Source organism: Homo sapiens, chromosome 1 (genome assembly GCF_000001405.40).
Source record: "Homo sapiens chromosome 1, GRCh38.p14 Primary Assembly".
Lineage (NCBI taxonomy): Eukaryota > Metazoa > Chordata > Mammalia > Primates > Hominidae > Homo > Homo sapiens.
Window position 1 is genome coordinate 13,184,696 of NC_000001.11, and position 18,399 is coordinate 13,203,094.

The following is an 18,399-nucleotide window of genomic DNA, read 5'->3' on the forward strand; positions in this document are numbered from 1 at the left end:
GCTCAAAAGGTCCTATGCCCACGGAGCCTCACTCATTGCTAGCACAGCAGTCTGAGATCAAACTGCAAGGCGGCAGCAAGGCTGGGGGAGGGGCGCCTGCCATTGTTGAGGCTTGAGTAGGTAAACAAAGCAGCCAGGAAGCTGGAACTGGGTGGAGCCCACTGCAGCTCAAGGAGGCCTGCCTGCCTCCACAGACTCCATTTCTGGGGGCAGGGCATTGCCAAACAAAAGGCAGCAGAATCCTCTGTAGACTTAAATGTCCCTGTCTGACAGCTTTGAAGAGAGTAGTGGTTCTCCCAGCACGCAGCTGGAGATCTGAGAATGGACAGACTGACTCCTCAAGTGGGTCTGTGACCCCTAAGTAGCCTAACTGGGAGGCACCCACCAGCAGGGGCAGACTGGCACCTCACATGGCCAGGTACTCCTCTGAGACAAAACTTCCACAGGAATGATCGGGCAGCAACATTTGTTGTTCACCAGTATCCACTGTTCTGCAGCCTCTGCTGCTGATACCCAGGCAAACAGCTTCTGGAGTGGACCTCCAGCAAACTCCAACAGACCTGCAGCTGAGGGTCCTGACTGTTAGAAGGAAAACTAACAAACAGAAAGGACATCCACACCAAAACCCAGTCTGTACATCAGCATCATCAAAGACCAAAGGTAGATAAAACCACAAAGATGGGGAAAAAACAGAGCAGAAAAATGGGAAACTCTAAAAATCAGAGTTCCTCTCCTCCTCCAAAGGAACGCAGCTCCTCACCAGCAATGGAACAAAGCTAGAGGGAGAAGGACTTTGATGAGTTGAGAGATGAAGGCTTCAGATGATCAAACTACTCTGAGCTAAAAGAGGAAGTTCGAACCCATGGCAAAGAAGTCAAAAACATTGAAAAAAAATTAGATGAATGGCTAACTAAAATAACCAATGCAGAGAAGTCCTTGAAGGACCTGATGGAGCTGAAAACCATGGCACGAGAACCACGTGACAAATGTACAAGCCTCAGTAGCTGATTCCATCAACTGGAAGAAAGGGTATCAGTGAGGGAAGATCAAACGAATGAAATGAAGCGAGAAGAGAAGTTCAGAGATAAAAGAATAAGAGGAAATGAACAAAGCCTCCAAGAAATATGGGACTATGTGAAAAGACCAAGTCTATGTCTGACAGGTGTACCTGAAAGTGATGGGGAGAATGGAACCAAGCTGGAAAACACTCTTCAGGATATTATCCAGCAGAACTTCCCCAATCTAGCAAGGCAGGCAAACATTCAAATTCAGGAAATACACAGAATGCCACAAAGATACTCCTTGAGAAGAGCGACTCCAAGACACATAATTGTCAGATTCGCCAAAGTTGAAATGAAGGAAAAAATGTTAAGGGCAACCAGAGAGAAAGGTCGGGTTACCCACAAAGGGAAGCCCATCAGACTGACAGCGGAGCTCTCGGCAGAAACTCTACAAGCTAGAAGAGAGTGGGGGCCTATATTCAACATTCTTAAGAAAAGAATTTTCGACCCAGAATTTCATATGCAACCAAACTAAGCTTCATAAGTGAAGGAGAAATAAATTCCTTTACAGACAAGCAAATGCTGAGAGATTTTGTCACCACCAGGCCTGCCCTAAAAGAGCTCCTGAAGGAAGCACTAAACATGGAAAGGAACAACTGGTACCAGCCACTTCAAAAACATGCCAAATTGGAAGGACCATCGATACTAGGAAGAAACTGCATCAACTAAAGAGCAAAATAACCAGCTAACATCATAATGACAGGATCAAATTCACACATAACAATATTAACCTTAAATGTAAATGGGCTAAATGCTCCAATTAAAAAACACAGACTGGCAAATTTCATAAAGAGTCAAGACCCATCAGTGTGCTGTATTCAGGAAACCCATCTCACATGCAGAGACACACATAGGCTCAAAATAAAGGGATGGAGGAAGATCTTCCAAGCAAATGGAAAACACAAAAAGGCAGGAGTTGCCATCCTAGTCTCGGATAAAACAGACTTTAAACCAACAAAGATCAAAAGAGACAAAGAAGGCCATTACATCATGGTAAAGGGATCCATTCAACAAGAAGAGCTAACTATCCTAAATATAGATGCACCCAATACAGGAGCACCCAGATTCATAAAGCAAGTCCTTAGAGACCTACAAAGAGACTTAGACTCCCACACAATAATAATGGGAGACTTCAACACCCCACTGTCAACATTAGACACATCAATGAGACAGAAAGTTAACAAGGATATACAGGAATTGAACTCAGCTCTGCGCCAAGCGGACCTAATAGACATCTACAGAACTCACCATCCAAAATCAACAGAATATACATTCTTCTCAGCACCACACTGCACTTATTCCAAAAATTGACCACATAGTTGGAAGTAAAGCACACCTCAGCAAATGTAAGAGAACAGAAATTATAACAAACTGTCTCTCAGGCCACAGTGCAATCAAACTAGAACTCAGGATTAAGAAACTCACTCAGTGTGTGATGTTCCCTTTCCTGTGTCCATGTGTTCTCATTGTTCAATTCCCACCTATGAGCGAGAACATGCAGTGTTTGGTTTTTTGTGCTTGTGATAGTTTGCTGAGAATGATGGTTTCCAGCTTCATCCATGTCCCTACAAAGGACATGAACTCATCATTTTTTATGGCTGCATAGGATAGCATTAGGAGGTATACCTAAGGCTAAATGACGAGTTAATGTGTGCGGCACACCAACATGGCACACGTATACATATGTAACAAACCTGCACGTTGTTCACATGTACCCTAAAACTTAAAGCATAATAATAATAATAAAAGAAACTCACTCAAAACCGCTCAACTACATGGAAATTGAACAACCTGCTCCTGAATGACTACTGGGTACATAACGAAATGAAGACAGAAATAAAGACATTCTTTGAAACCAATGAGAAAAAAGACACAACATACCAGAATCTCTGGGACACATTCAAAGCAGTGTGTAGAGGGAAATTTATAGCACTAAATGCCCACAAGAGAAAGCAGGAAAGATCTAAAATTGACAACCGAACATCACAATTAAAAGAACTAGAGAAGCAAGAGCAAACATATTCAAAAGCCAGCAGAAAGCAAGAAATAGCTAAGATCAGAGCAGACCCGAAGGAAATAGAGACACAAAAACCCCTTCAAAAAATCAATGAATCCGGTAGCTGGTTTTTTGAAAAGATCAACAAAATAGATAGACTGCTAGCAAGACTAATAAAGAAAAGATAGAAGAATCAAATAGATGCAATAAAAAATGATAAAGGGCATATCACCACGGATCCCACAGAAAGACAAACTACCATCAGAGAATACTATAAACACCTCTATGCAAATAAACTAGAAAATCTAGAAGAAATGGATAAATTCCTCAACACATACACCCTCCCCAGAATAAGCCAGGAAGAAGGTGAATCTCTGAATAGACCAATAACAGGCTCTGAAATTGAGGAAATAATTAATAGCTTACCAACCAAAAAAAGTCCAGGACCAGATGGATTCACAGTCGAATTCTATCAGAGGTACAAGGAGGAGCTGGTACCATTCCTTCTGAAACTATTCCACTTAATAGAAAAAGAGGGAATCCTCCCTAACTCATTTTATGAGGCCAGCATCATCCTGACACCAAAGCCTCGCAGAGACACAACAAAAAAAGAGAATTTGAGACCAATATCCCTGATTAACATCGATGCAAAAATCCTCAATAAAATACTGGCAAACCGAATCCAGCAGCACATCAAAAAGCTTATCCACCAATATCAAGTCGGCTTCATCCCTGATCCGCAAGGCTGGTTCCACTTACGCAAATCAATAAACATAATCCATCACATAAACAGAACCAATGACAAAAACCACATGATTGTTTCAATATGTGCAGAAATGGCCTTCGATAAAATTCAACACCCTTTCAGGCTAAAAACTCTAGATAAACTAGGTATTGATGGAACGTATGTAAAAATAATAAGAGCCATTTATGACAAAACCACAGCCAATATCATACTGAATGGGCAAAAGCTAGAAGCATTCCCTCTGAAAACCAGCACAATGCATGGATGCCCCCTCTCACCACTCCTATTCAACATAGTATTGGAAGTTCTGGCCAGGGCAATCAGGCAAGAGAAAGAAATAAAGAGTATTCAAATAGGAAGAGAGGAAGTCAAATTGTCTCTGTTTGCAGATGACATGATTGTATATTTAGAAAACCCCATCATCTCAGCCCAACATCTCCTAAAGCTGATAAGCAACTTCAACAAAGTCTCAGGATACAAAATCAATGTGCAAAAATCAAAATCATTCCTATACATCAACAATAGACAAACGGAGAGCCAATCATGAGTGAACTCCCATTCACAATTGCTAAAAGAAAATAAAATACATAGGAATACAACTTACAAGGGATGTGAAGGACCTCTTCAAGGAGAACTACAAACCACTGCTTAAGGAAATAAGAGAGGACACTAACACATGGAAAAACATTCCACGCTCATGGGTCTGAAGAATCAATATCATGAAAATGGCCATACTGCCCAAAGTGATTTATAGATTCAATGCTATCCCCATCAAGCTGTAATGGAGTTTCTTCACAGAATTAGAAAAAACTACTTAAAACTTCATATGGAAGCAAAAAAGAACCTGTATACACAACACAATCCTAAGCAAAAAGAACAAAGCTGGAGGCATCACGCTACCTGACTTCAAACTATACGACAAGGCTACAGTAACCAAAACAACATGGTACAGTTATCAAAACAGATATGTAGACCAATGAAACAGAACAGAGGACTCAGAAATAATGCCACACATCTACAACCATCTGATCCTTGACAAACCTGACAAAAACAGCCAATGGGGAAAGGATTCCCCATTTAATAAACGGTGTTGGGAAAACTGGCTAGCCATATGCAGAAAACTGCAAATGAACCCCTTCCTTTCACCTTATGCAAAAATTAACTCAAGATGGATTAAAGACTTAAATGTAAGACCTAAAGCCATAAAAACCCTAGAAGAAAACCTAGGTGATACCATTCAGGACATAGGCATGGGCAAAGACTTCATGGCTAAAACACTAAAACCAATGGCAACAAAAGCCAAAATTGACAAATGGGATCTAATTAAAATAAAGAGCTTTTGCACAGCAAAAGAAACTATCATCAGAGTCAACAGGCAACCTATAGAATGGGAAAATTTTTTGCAATCTATCCATCAGACAAATGGCTAATATCCAGAATCTACAAGGAACTTAAGCAAATTTACAAGAAAAAAACAAACAACCCTGTCAAAAAGTGGGTGAAGGATACTAACAGACAACTCTCCAAAAAAACCATTTATCCAGCCAACAAACATATGAAAAAATGTTCATCACCACTGGTCATTTGATTTGCATTTCTCTAATGCAAATCAAAACCACAGTGAGATACCATCTCATGCCAGTTAGAATGGTGATCATTAAAAAGTCAGGAAACAACAGATGCTGGAAAGGATGTGGAGAAATAGGAATGCTTTGACACTGTTGGTGGGAGTGTAAATTAGTTCAACCATTGTGGAAGACAGTGTGGCAATTCCTCAAGGATCTAGAACCAGAAATACCATTTGATCCAGCAATCTCATTACTGGGTATATATCCAAAGGATTATAAATCCTTCTACTATAAAGACACATGCACAAGTATGTTTATTGCAGCACTATTCACAACAGCAAAGACTTGGAACCAACCCAAATGCCCATCAATGATAGACTGGATAAAGCAAATGTGGCACATATACATCATGGAATACTATGCAGTCATAAAAAATAAGTTCATTTCCTTTGCAGGGACATGGATGAAGCTAGAAACCATCATTCTCAGCAAACTAACACAGGAACAGTAAACCAAAACACCACATAAGTGGGAGTTGAACAATGAGAACTCATGGTCACAGGTAGGGGAACACTACACATCAGGGCCTCTCGGGGTGTGGAGGGCTAGGAGAGGGGTAGCATTAGGAGAAATACCTAATGTAGATGACGGGTTGATGGGTACAGCAAACCACCATGGCATGTGTATACGTATGTAACAAAACTGCACGTTCTGCACATGTATCCCAGAACTTAAAGTGGAAAGAAAGAAAGAAAGAAAGAAAGAAAGAAAGAAAGAAAGAAAGAAAGAAAGAAAGAAAGGGAAAGAAAGAAAGAAAGAAAGAAAGAGATGAAGCAAGAAAGATGGAAGGAAGGAAGGAAGGAAGGAAGGAAGGAAGGAAGGAAGGAGAGAGAGAGAGAGAGAGAAAGAAAGAAAGAAAGAAAGAAAGAAAGAAAGAAAGAAAGAAAGAAAGAAAGAAAGAAAGAAAGAAAAAAAGAAAGAAAGAAAGAAAGGAAAAGAAAAGACAGTGGAGGGGAGGGGATGGGAGAGGAGGTGAAGGGAAGGGAAGGGAAGGGAAGGGAGAAGAAAAGAAATACCCATAAAATAGGAAAGCTGGCTGGTCACAGGAGAAGCATGAAAATATCAAGCAGTGATTTCATATAGCAGCAAGAAAAGAGCTTGTAAAATTAGCTGCAAGAATAAGGATAAGCCTTGACCCATAAGATCCGAACAAGCAGGAAGGGGCTAAGCTGGCTGACACTGAATTGGTCAGACATGGCACTGGGTTTGACCCTTGCCCTACCCCAGGCCTAATTATACACCTATTATGACAGTAAGTCACACACCAGCGCCAGGACGGTTCTGAGAATGCCCATATTTAGTATAAAAATAGTTAACACCTAGCCACGTGCAGTGGCTCATGCCTGTAATCCCAACATTTTGGGAACCTGAGGCAGGCGAATCACCTGGTGTCGGGAGTTTGAGACCACCCTGACCAACATGGAGAAATCTCGTCTCTACTAAAAATACAAAATTAGCCGAGTGTGGTGGTGCATGTCTGTAACCCCAGCTACTCCAGAGGCTGAGGCAGGAGTATTGCTTGAACACGGGAGGCGGAGATTGCAGTGAGCCAAGATCGCGCCATTGCACTCCAGCCTGGGCAACAAGAGCGAAACTCCATCTCAAAACATAAATAAATAAATAAATAAATAAATAAATAAATAAATAAATAGGTGACACCTCAGTTCTAAGAAAACTTCACCATTTTTTCTTAAAATCCTAATGATTATTTCAACCTCTCCTTACAGATCCTATAAAATTAGAAACCCAAACTCTCTTGTACCTGACTCGCTCTCCTGAATAAGCCCTCTCTTGAGTGTGTTCCTTTGCTTTGCAATAGACACTTCTTGCCTTTTGCTTCATTCTGCCTACTTCCTAAACTCTTTCTTGCAGCGGTGACAAGAATGTGGACACTGGTTGGTGATTGAGTCTCTGGGCACCTGGAGACGACCTAAGCACTATGGCAATAGTCAGTCTAAAAATCACACAGGATATCACAATTCACTCTCTGGTTTTCTTGGGGGAAAAATCCAGTAACTTTGGCCCCATATCCCCAAGGGGCATCACTCAGCACAAACTGAGAAGCAGCAGTCCTACCGCTGGGTTGTAAGTATGCGGCTTTATTCCGGGGTTCTCTATTCCATTCCATTGGTCTATGTCTCGACCTTCATACTGGCACCACGCAGTTTTGCTTACTGTTGCCTTACTGTATAAATTGAAGTCAGGTAATGTGATGTCTCCATATTTGTTCATTTTGCTTCGGATTGCTTTGGCTCTTCAGGCTCTTCTTCATCTCCATATGAATCTTAGGATTCTTTTTTTAATCTTGTGAAAATGGTGTTTGTATTTTGGTGTATGAAATTTTTAGACTGACGTTTTTAGATTGATGTTTGATGTTTGCAGTTTTTAGATTGCTTTGGGCAGTGTGGTCATTTTCACAATATTGTGTCTGTCAATCCGTGAGCATGGGCTGTTTTTCTACTTTTTTGTTGTCTATGATTTTTTTCAGCAGTGTCTTGTAGTTCATCTGATAGAGATCCTTTACCTAATGGTTAAGTGTATTCCTAGGTTGTTTTTGTTATTGTCACTGTTTTTGTTGTTGTTTTGCAACTATTGTGAAGGGATGGAGTTCTTGAATTGATTCTCAGCTTACTTGTTGTTGGTATCAAACAGTGGTACTTATTTGTACATATTGATTTTGTACCTGAGATTTAAGTGAATTCACTTATCGCATCTATGAGTCTTGGTGGAATCTTTCCAGTTTTCTAAGCACATATGATCACATCATTGGCAAACACAGGTAGTTTCACTTCCTTCTTTCCAATTTAATTATACTTTATTCCTTTTGCTTACCAGATTGCTCTGACAAAAATTTTCAGTCCTATGTTGATTACAAGTGGATAAAGTGAGGATTTTTGTCTGCTTGTAGTTCCTAGCAGGAATACTTTCAACGTTTCTTCATTCAATATGATGTTGCATGTGGATTTGTCATTTTTGGCTTCTATTATTTTGATGTATGTTCTTTCTAGGCATAGTTTGTGTAAGCGTAGTCTATTATTTTACAAGCTCAGATTTGTATTCTGTTTTATCTGAGTGCATTGTGAGATTTGGCATCTATTTTACCTGATATAAGTACAGCTACTCTTGCTGTTTTTGGTTTCCAGTTGCATGGAATATCTTATTCTACCCCTTCACTTTCCATCTACATGTATGTTTATAGGTGAATTAAGTTTCTGGAAAACAGCATATAGTAGGGTTTTATGTTTTTACTCATTCAAAGACCCTATGCCTTTCACTTGCAGAATTCAGATAAATTATATTCATTGTTTTTATTGATAAAGGCTTAGTGCTCCCATTTCATTTCTTGTTTTTTGGTTGTTTAGAGACTTCTCTCTTCCATCCTTTTCTTATTGTCTTTCTTTGTGTTTAAGTAATTTTCTCTTCTGGAATACTTAGAATGTGACTCTTCTGGCCAGAAACCTCTGTGGCTGGGGGCACCTTTGCCAGAGTTTTGATGGGGTTCACTGGGTTCGTTCTGCCCATGCAGCCTGGTAGACTATGCTTGGCTCATGTTTCAAGCCTGGAGCACATGCCTATTAAGGGTGGGTCAGGGCTGGAGTGGTGAGGGGTGTGTGAGTGAGCAGGGGGTCTGGCCACTTTGGACGGTCACCGGCTGCTGCTGCTGCAGCAGTGGGTTGGGCAGCTCCAGGTGTCAGCATGTGTGCCAGATTTCTGCAAGGCTGCAAATGAATCAGGCACAGCACAAACAGCTTCCATGGTTGTCACTGGAATACACAGTGACACCAACACTGAAAGCTTGGAAATGCCAGGAACTGCAGAACCCCCAAAAGGGAGTCACAGCCCTGGCTCAGGAAGCTCCCACATCTGGGCTCCTGGAAGAGTAGTCGCTCTTCTCTTTTTCTCTTCACCTACAATTTGGTGAGCAAGGGGCATGTTTCAGCTTTATTTGTGTTATTGCTCTTTTACCCCACCATTAGGCGGGTCTCAAGTTTTTGTCCTGTGACCAGGAAGAGTGAAATATGCAGACAAGTGGAGGGTGAGTGAGATAAAGAGGAGCTTTATTGAACAATAGAACAGCTCAGAGACCCACAGTGGGTAACTTCTTTCTGCAGCCAGGGCGTCCTGATGAGTGTTTAGTACTGAGCAGAGAGGAGGCCCTGGGGTGGGTGACCCCTCCCTCCTGGCAGGTTATTCCATCATCACCACTGCTCTCAGTAGAGAGAAGGCCCTGGAGTGGGTTGCTGCTCTCTGCAGGAAAGTCATCTCATCATCTCTACAGCTCTCAGCAGAGAAAAGGACCCGGAGGGGGTTGCTTGTCTCTACAGGAAAATCATCCCCACAGTGGGTAGTTCCTCTCTGCCACTGGTCTTCCTAATGTTCTCCCTGAGTCTGGGGTTTTTTTGACATCAGACAGGAGAAAGTATGCACTCATTGGGTCATAGGTGGCCATGAGCAGGCACAGAAAAGGCAACACATGTTCCCACTCTGGTCCATAGGACTGGTGGCCCAGCCCACGGGCTTCAGGCCCTCCTTGATCAGAAGGTGGAGCTTCACCAGTGACCCTCACCTTCCTGTCCAGGATTCTGTCTGCCTCCCACCACCAACCATGGAGCCCAGGTCACTTGTACCAAGGAGCATCCAAAGACCAGTGCTGATCAGTCCGCAACACCCCTCAGCCTCCCTCCTACACTCATCAAGGCCCAAAGTCCAGAGGGTTCAAGACAGCAGTGGGATGGTGCATCAGCACTGACCCGAGTGTGCACAGACCCACCTGGGCTGCGACAGCATCTGGGCTTGACCACAACCACACTCCAAAATTAGAGCAGGTGCCATGAGAGATGAGGCAGTGAGAGCGGACACCCCCAAGCTGCAGGAGAAGGGGGGATCTCCTGGACCCTCGAGAGTACTGGGGGACCTCATTTGGTAACTGTGACCTGGACAACTTCAGTTGCGTCTTTGGAGCTACTGCCCTGCCAACTCAGGAGGACCAGGACTCCCTCTTGTCCCAGGCTCCCATCAGCTCTGAAGTGTACGCAGCCTTGGATGTGCCCTTTCTCTGTGTTTCCCTGCAGAAGTGACAGTTGAGAAGCAGATACACAGCAGCTCTGACCAACCCCGCACAAACAAACCCAATGCTCCTGGGTGTGGTTTAACCAGCCCCAACTGCACTATCATCCAGGAGCTTGCAGGCTAACAGCAGGCAGTGAGCAGTGAAGTAGAGGCTGTGGTGGAGACTCCAGACCTGGGACAAGGTTCCATTTTGCGATGAGAGGGTGTGGGTGGCACAGTTGGCTGCCTCAGGGAAATGGAGCACAGGCCTGGCTCATGACCCAGTCAAGGGGAGTGCCTCCAGGAGTGGTTCATGGTTCCCAGGCCCAGCAATCGGGCTGGTCACCCCTATGGGGGGCGGATCTCGGAAACACAGCCTGGGGTGGATCCGCATAGAACCTCCCTTCAAGACCTGGGAGCTTGACACTGTTAGCAGGATGGGCACAGTGGCCAGATAGCTGGCCAGGTCCTTGAAGCAGGTGCCATTTCTGCTTCTCACCCTGGCCCCCTGATGGATGGCCCCAGCTATGCCTTCTGGGCCTGGCATCCGCACATCTTGTGCGAGCGTGGCACCACCCCATTCCTGTCTTCTCCTTGGGGCCCCTCTCTGCCCGTCCCTTCGCGCCTGACCGAGCTGCTCCCCGTGGGCAAAAAAGTAAGAAAAAAACTGATGACTGAAGAGAAGTAAAGAATGGGTGGAGATCATCTGTATGCCTGTTTTCCCAGCGCTTTGGGAGGCCAAGGTCAGTGGATCACTTGAAGCCAGGATCTTGAGACCAGGCTGATCAACACGGAAAAACCTCATCTCTATTAAAAATACAAAAATCAGCCAGTCTTGGTGGAACGTGCCTGCAGTCCCAGCTATTTGAGTGGTTGAGGCACAAGAATCACTTGAGCCCTGAAGGAAAGGATTGCAATGAGCCCAGATTGCACCACTGCACTCCAGCCTAAATGACAAACTGAGATTTTGTCTCCAAAACAAAACAAAGAACAAGAATGGGTGGGAAATACTTAAAATGATCAAATTTTATTTGGTTGCTTTGATGTTCTACAGCTGAAACTCAATCACAGACAAAGTAGTATTTCATTATTTTTCCATCAGTAACTCAATAACTAGATATTTCTGGTGGATAAATTGCTACAACAGGTTAAAAGTTTTCATTCAGGTGCTCTTTATTTCTGATATTCCTTGGTAACCATCCTTGCAGGGATAACATTCTCATCACTGTAGAACTTTAGCTTCTCTTTCTGACTCTGTAGGACACGGGTCCCTGAAGTTCTCATTGATGTCACCTCAACATTTTCCTCCAGCCTTGCCCCCTGCTGTTATGTTTTCTCCCTCACACTGAGCACTTCCCTGTGCTTCCTTTAAGTTGCATGTGGCCTGGACACAGTCACTCATGCCAGTAATCCCAGCACTTTAGGAAGCTGAGGCAGGAGGACCCCATAAGCCCAGCTGAGGCAGGAGGATCCCAGAGCAACACAGAGAAACCCTGTCTCAAATTGTCTTTAATAAAAATTTTGGAATTATTAAAAAATGAAATAAATAAGAAAAGAGAAAAATAGCTTGCACCTACATAGTAGATTTTAGTGTCCAAGTGCCTGGAAGAGAACTTTGGATTTCTCTACCCCACTGGGCATGCCTTCCCTAGCAGCAAAGATGGAGCTCCAGTTCCTCAGACAGTGATGAGCCACAGGAAGGGCAGGGGGTGGGACCAATGAAGATCCTCTTGGGCTGCCTGACTTCCCTCAGTGTACACATCAGCTCAGCCCGAAGTGGGGTGAAGATCTCCCAATTGACACGAACCAAGGAATTCAAACTCTCCTCAGGGGCAGGATACGTCTCCAGGCTTAACTTGCTCAGCCCACTGGTGTGGCGCAGCAGGTCCTTCAGGGCACCCATAGACATACAATTTCTGCCAAAGTAGAAGGTGGTGAGCTGGGAGCAGCGGCTCAGGCCAGGCAGGATGGCACTGAGTTGGGAGTAGTGGATCTGACAGCCCTCCAAGATGAGGGTTTCGAGAGAGGCAGCAATTTTCTCTAGCAGAGCTCCGAGGGGTTCAAGACTGATGCGGAACAGCAGCACGTAGCTGAGATTCAGATGCTTTAGGTAACCGAGGCTTGGGTACTGGGAGAGACACTTCACATCCTCTTCCAATAGGTAGCCATAAGTTAATTCCAAGTTCTCCAAGGGGTTCTGGAGGCACCTGTGGAGATCAAGAAGTTAGTTCTGGGCAATGGTACCAGTTAGATGAAGGTAGTGCCTTCATCTAGGAAAATGCCTGCGTCAAACAAACACAAGTTTGTTCCCACCATCTGATGATGGTCCTCATGGAAGTTGCTGCATGATGAGGACCCTGATCGTTCAGGGGCTGTCCCATTTTAGAATCAGCCCTTTCACCATTGCTTGTGTGATTGGGTCAAGGCCATAAAATCTCTAAAGCCTTTTTTTTTTTTCATCTTTTAGCAGAAAACTTTATCTCTGGGCCACAGGTACCCGGTGGGAGATGTGAACAAAGAACTCAACTCAGCAAGGTCTAGGGACATCAGCTAGGGCTACATGTCGGCAGGGGCTACCTGACATGCCTGCATCTGCAAACCAACTGTCACTTTTTACCACTCTCACGCCTACTACCTCACCTCCATCCCAGAAGCACGCATTTCCCATGTCAGTTACCTTTCCTGGAGTTCAAAACAACCTTTTACAAACAGGGAATCAGAGACAGGATCATTCGTGATCACTAAGCCGGTGAGGACAGACGTTCTATTGTGAAATGGACAGGTTTGATGCACTTTCCCTCCTTTCATACCCTCCTCTATTATCTCTTTGACATCATATCAACTTGAAACACACTTTGTAACAGGAAATTCACACGTGCACCCCCAATAGAGCTGAAACCCCCACTAACTAGCTTGTACATGATGTCCCTCTCTAGCTTCTACCCCAGGTGACCCCTCTGCCCTTATTGGAGCGATCCTGTGATAGCCACTCCAGGACATGGAACACTGAATGGGACAATGTGTTGACATTCTGGTGTCCCCTTCACTGTGACGTTGCCACTGGCTGGCACACAGTACACGCCTTCTAATGTTTGCTGTAAGAGAACAAGGCTATGCTGTGGTCTGCATAAAAAATGCATGATCCTTCCTCACCTGATCAGCTGTTCCAGGTGCCCACTGAAGAAGGTGATCAATTTTATTTTAAGCAACTGGAGGTGTTCCAGCCCGAGGAACACAGAGCTGAATTTGGTGACTAACCGTCCTTCGAGTTCATTATCTGACGTGGAATGATGGCACCTGGAGAAAACGAGTTTGCCAAGAGTCTTCATCTCCTTCAGGTAACAACGAAGCTTTCTTATCAGACGTGGCCAGGACATGTTGTGAATTTCCAGCTCTTGAATACTATTCAGGTATATTATTTTCAATGACTTTCTGAGATGTTTAATCGGCGTTAGATAATTGACCAGCTTACTACAGCACAGGTGTACTAAACCTCTCCTTTGGTAAACCCACTGGAAGAGGTATCTCAGGCATTCATCCTGGGGTATTTCCTTGAGGCAGATGTCTATGAACACCTTTAAGGGCTGGTGCTCTCCCATCCTTGGACGGTCCTCTGCTGTCTGCCTCTTACTCATGGTCTCTGGGAAGCAGGACAGGGCCCAGGCTCCAGGCCATCTGGCCCAGAAATTCTCGTCAACATCCCGCAAATCCAGCACTTGAAGTTTCCGCCTCCTGTGGGTAAAGTAAGGGAGAGGCTCAGAATTTAGAAGGACAAATCCCTGACCTTTGCTTTCATTGTCATCCCATAAATCAGCTGCTCCTGTCCTCAGTGCTCCCTGTTCTCTTTGTCTTTTCTTGATCCCTTTTCCCTTTGGATTCTGAGTGGTCCCCACTTCTATTCCCTTTACCTTCCACTGAGAAAAGGCAGGTTTCTGTTCCCACAGTGGACCCTGTATGGTGAGCAGTCCTTTCTCTGAGGATCTGGACAATGGCCAAAGCCTCCCTGATCTTCCTCGCCAACACCATCAGAAGACTCTGGGCTACACTTGGGCTACTTCTCTGCCTGACCCTGCTGTTCTTTCCCTGGACACCTGAGCCCTATCTACCAGCCCTCCTGGGTCACCTCACCTGGGGCGATCCTTCTGTGTAAGCAGCATATGAAGCCCTTCCAGCAATGCTTTTAAGGTCTCCAAATGAAGCGTCTTCATCAGTGATCCCAGAGGGAGGCAGGTGAAGGGCCAGGCCTGCACCATCACCGTCAGAGTCTGGAAGTGTCTCCTGCGGAAGGCCTCCATGAAGAGTGGGAGATAGAGCACCCTGGGCAGCTCCTCCATGGCAGAGATGGACAAGGCCTGGTCTCTCAGCAGGCTCTGCCCCGCCAGCTCCAGGAGTCTGGGTGGGGCCTGGATGCTCATCCTGATAGATCTGCAAGGAAAATCTCTAGAAGACAAATCCAGGGAAAATGTATCACTCTCATGGCAAACACAATCATCTGCTTCTACTGGTACCAGGAAGAATGTCTTCCAAACACCAAGGAGGGAGGGGTCAAGGAGACCACTGGCTTATTAATTTTCATCCATTGCTCCACTGAATCCCAGAACCACCGGACAGTGCCACTGAGGATCCTGAAAGCCAAGCTCTACCTCTTTGAGGAAAAATTTCTTGTCACTTACCAACCTAAAGCAATGAGAATGAGAGTGTCCTGTGGCCCCAGACAGCCTCCATTCTCAGTTTACACCATAAACATGCTGGGGGAACACTAAAGGGACTCCCTAAAATCGATGCCATTATTTTTTATTTTGAAAATTTTCTACCAGAAATGGACCAGGTGCTGTGGCTCATGTCTGTAATCCCAACACTGCTGGACACCAAGGCAGGCAGTTCACTTGAGGTCAGGAGTTCGAGAACAGCCTGGCCTACATAATGAAACGATGTCTCTACTAAATACAAAAAAATTAAGAATCATTTGACTCCAGAAGGCAGAGGTTGCAGAGAGCCAAGATCTCACCACTGCTCTCCAGCCTGGGTGACAGAGTTGGACTCAGACTCAAACAAAAACAAATTGATAAATTAATTAATTAAAATGTTAGCCAGGTGTGGTCATGCATGACTGTAATCCTAGCTACTCTGGAGGCAGAGGAAGGAGAATCACTTGAAGCCCAGAGGCAGAGTTTCCAGGGAGCCCAGCTCAGGGCCCTGCACTCCAGTCTGGGTGACACACTCAGAGTACATCCCAGAAAAAAAACAAAATAATTCACTGGAACTGTAAAAGTGGTGTGATGGTATTCCACAGCATTTGGAAGGTATGTATAGAAATGCTAACTGTACCTGGGCGCGGTGGCTCACTCCTGTAATCCCAGCACTTTGGGAGTCTGAGGGGGGCAGATCTCCTGAGGTCAGGAGTTTGAGGACAGCATGGCCAACATGGCAAAACCCTGTGTCTACTAAAAATACAAAAATTAGCTGGGCATGGTGGTGAGTGCCTGTAATCCAAGCTACTCAGGAGGCTGAAGCAGGAGAATCGCATGTAACTAGGAGGCAGAAATTTCAGTGAACCAAACCACACCATGGCACTCCAGCCTGGGCAACAATAGGGAAACTCCATCTCAAAAACTGTAAAAGTGCTACCATGCTATTCTAGAGCACTGTAACTCTGAGATGAAGGTTCCTATAGACATCACTTCCACATACTCACAATTACCCACTTTTTGATGGATCCTAGGGGCAAAGATAAATCCCATGATCTGAGCAAAACTGCACTCTTGAGATTGCTGTGTGGGATACCTTTAAGGATTTTATGAAAATGAAAGCATACTTGGAGAATCACAATAACACCAAGTCTATGAACTGTAATTGAAAGGCACAAAAACAAATAACTTCAAATGTCAAGAAATAAAAATTCATGTCACTGTAAATTTTTAATATATTTTTAAAAAACCTGCTTCGATAAGAATTTTAAAATGACAAAAACCAAGCACAAATCACAATTTGATGGATGAAGACAAAACTACATTTAGAGGAAAAATGAAAGCCTAAATCTGTTCATCTCACGAAACAGACAGAAAAATATTGTGTGCCACTTTGGGATGTGTGTCACCGTCCCTGACTGGCTGGCTGCTGATCAGATGGGCATGACCCTAAGCAGGTGGTGACTTACCAGCGCTGGACTCACTTTGCAGAGTTCTGGGACCTCTCAGGGAACCAAGCAGTAGCTCCAGGAATGAGTGCTGTGGGTCTCTTCTGGGTACCCTCAGGAGCTTTTATAGACCTTTCTAACCCCACCCTTCCCTTCTCAATCACCAGCTTCCAATCAGAAACTGATACCTGATTAGATCTTGCAGTCACACCCAGTTAATCCTGATTGAGTTTTCAGCTTTCTTCTGACTAATCGATTGAATTAGATACACATTTATGGAAGTAAAAGAATAAATAATAGGGTGAAAGTCTAAAACTCATTCGTTCATTTATTCCCCAAATACTGATGAAGTTTGGCTAATACACGACTTTCGTAGTGATGTAGGGAAGGGATTAATCTGTTCCTGATATTAGGCCAAAAAAAAAAAAACCTTAAGGTGTCCTTATTGGAGGATGTTTGGCCACATCAAAATTGTCAAAATGTTTCAGAGCTACAATAGCCTGAAGAAGATAGTGATGTCATTCCCAAGAAAACAGAATAAAAAGCTGTGTATATCGAATGGTCACCTGTGTTTTATGCTATCTAACATAGCAGATCATATGCACATTCAGGTAGAAGAAAGGAACCACTGAGAGTGTGATCTATCTCAAGACTAAGTCAAGGCTTCACCGAAGGAAATCAGGACAAAGTGACCAAGTGAGGTGGGGACTGAGCGGAATGAGACTAGGTGTTCTAATGGGAACCTGCAAAGGAAACAAGACAATGTAAAACATGGCGGTTATCTTGTGGGCATCTAGATGTCAGGACTCAAAGTCTTTTGTCAAGATTGAGTTTATTTATTGATTGTTTGTTTGATTTTCAGACTGGGCCTACATCTGTCACTCAGGCTGGAGTGCAGTGGCACGATTTCAGCTCACTGCAGCCTCAACCTTCTGGTTCAAGTGATTCTCTCATTTCTGCCTCCCAAGTAGCTGGGAATTACGGGTGCACTCCAACAAGCCCTACTAATTTTTGTATTTTAGTCGAGATGGGGTTTCACCATGTTGGCCCGGCTGGTCTCAAACTCCTGACCTCAAGTGATCTCCTCACCTTGGCCTCCCAAAAGGCTGGGATAACAGGCATCAGCCATCTCACCCACCCTAGATTGAGTTCAGAAATTAAAAGGAGAATCATCAAAAGAGATAGGGCAGACTTAAACCATAACATTCACTTTGAAAACACAGGGGGCAGGTATAGTCTTGGCCCTACTAGAAGGTAAAGGGTGTTTACTCACAAAACTGATGGGCTCCTCTCAGAAAACCAGCTTGCAAAGATGGAATCTAAGAATGTGAACTGGAGCAGAGGCCAGAGAGAAGATTGGGGCCAGACCTGGGAAGGGAGGCTCTCCCAAGCTGGAAGCCACCCAGGTAGAAACTGTGGGCTCTACAGGATGTGAGAGAGAAATGAACGAGGGTCCATATGTCCATCATTGTTCTATCATCTGGAGACCTTTCCTGTAGACTCTGGGATCTTCCCACAGTGGAACATTTCCCAGCAACCATTGGCCCCAGTCATTTTCCAGGACCCTTCATCCAAATCTTAATCTCACCCACTCCCTTCCTACTCTAATTTGATAATTCATGTTTCCTCCTTCTTAGAGTCCTTTCCTGTCGCTAATATTGAACATAGAGATTCTTATCAGAGCATCAACATTAGGCCTACAAAGAAAGCTCAGACCCAGGCACAGTGGCTCATGCCTGTAACATCAGCCCTTTGAGAGGCCAAGGTGGGCTGATCATGAGGTC

The 18,399-nt window shown here is 44.3% G+C and overlaps 1 protein-coding gene across 2 annotated transcripts; it reads right to left on the reverse strand.

Annotated features, from left to right (window-relative positions):
* Positions 1-11,492: 11,492 nt before the first annotated feature.
* PRAMEF13 (PRAME family member 13) lies at positions 11,493-16,714 on the reverse strand. 2 transcript variants are annotated; one of them, NM_001291380.1, is made up of 4 exons: positions 16,637-16,714; positions 14,608-14,919; positions 13,633-14,211; positions 11,493-12,686 (listed from the first exon to the last, which is right to left on the reverse strand). In NM_001291380.1, the coding sequence occupies exons 2-4, from the start codon at positions 14,892-14,894 to the stop codon at positions 12,128-12,130; spliced, it is 1,425 nt and encodes a 474-aa protein (NP_001278309.1). In that variant the 5' UTR covers positions 14,895-14,919; positions 16,637-16,714; the 3' UTR covers positions 11,493-12,127. The 2 variants fall into 2 exon arrangements, with proteins under 2 accessions (NP_001278309.1, XP_011539760.1); XM_011541458.1 differs by lacking the exons at positions 13,633-14,211; positions 14,608-14,919; positions 16,637-16,714 and adding an exon at positions 13,157-13,449 and having other exon boundaries at positions 12,128-12,686.
* Between the last annotated feature and the right edge of the window lie 1,685 nt (positions 16,715-18,399).

Coding starts and splice junctions, on each gene's coding strand:
- PRAMEF13 (NM_001291380.1), bottom strand. CDS start 14,894: ATGAGCATCCAGGCCCCACCCAGACTCCTGGAGCTGGCGGGGCAGAGC. Junction 14,212..14,607: donor ACACAGAAGGATCGCCCCAG/GTGAGGTGACCC, acceptor CTTTACCCACAG/GAGGCGGAAACTTCAAGTGC. Junction 12,687..13,632: donor CACCTGGAACAGCTGATCAG/GTGAGGAAGGAT, acceptor TGATCTCCACAG/GTGCCTCCAGAACCCCTTGG.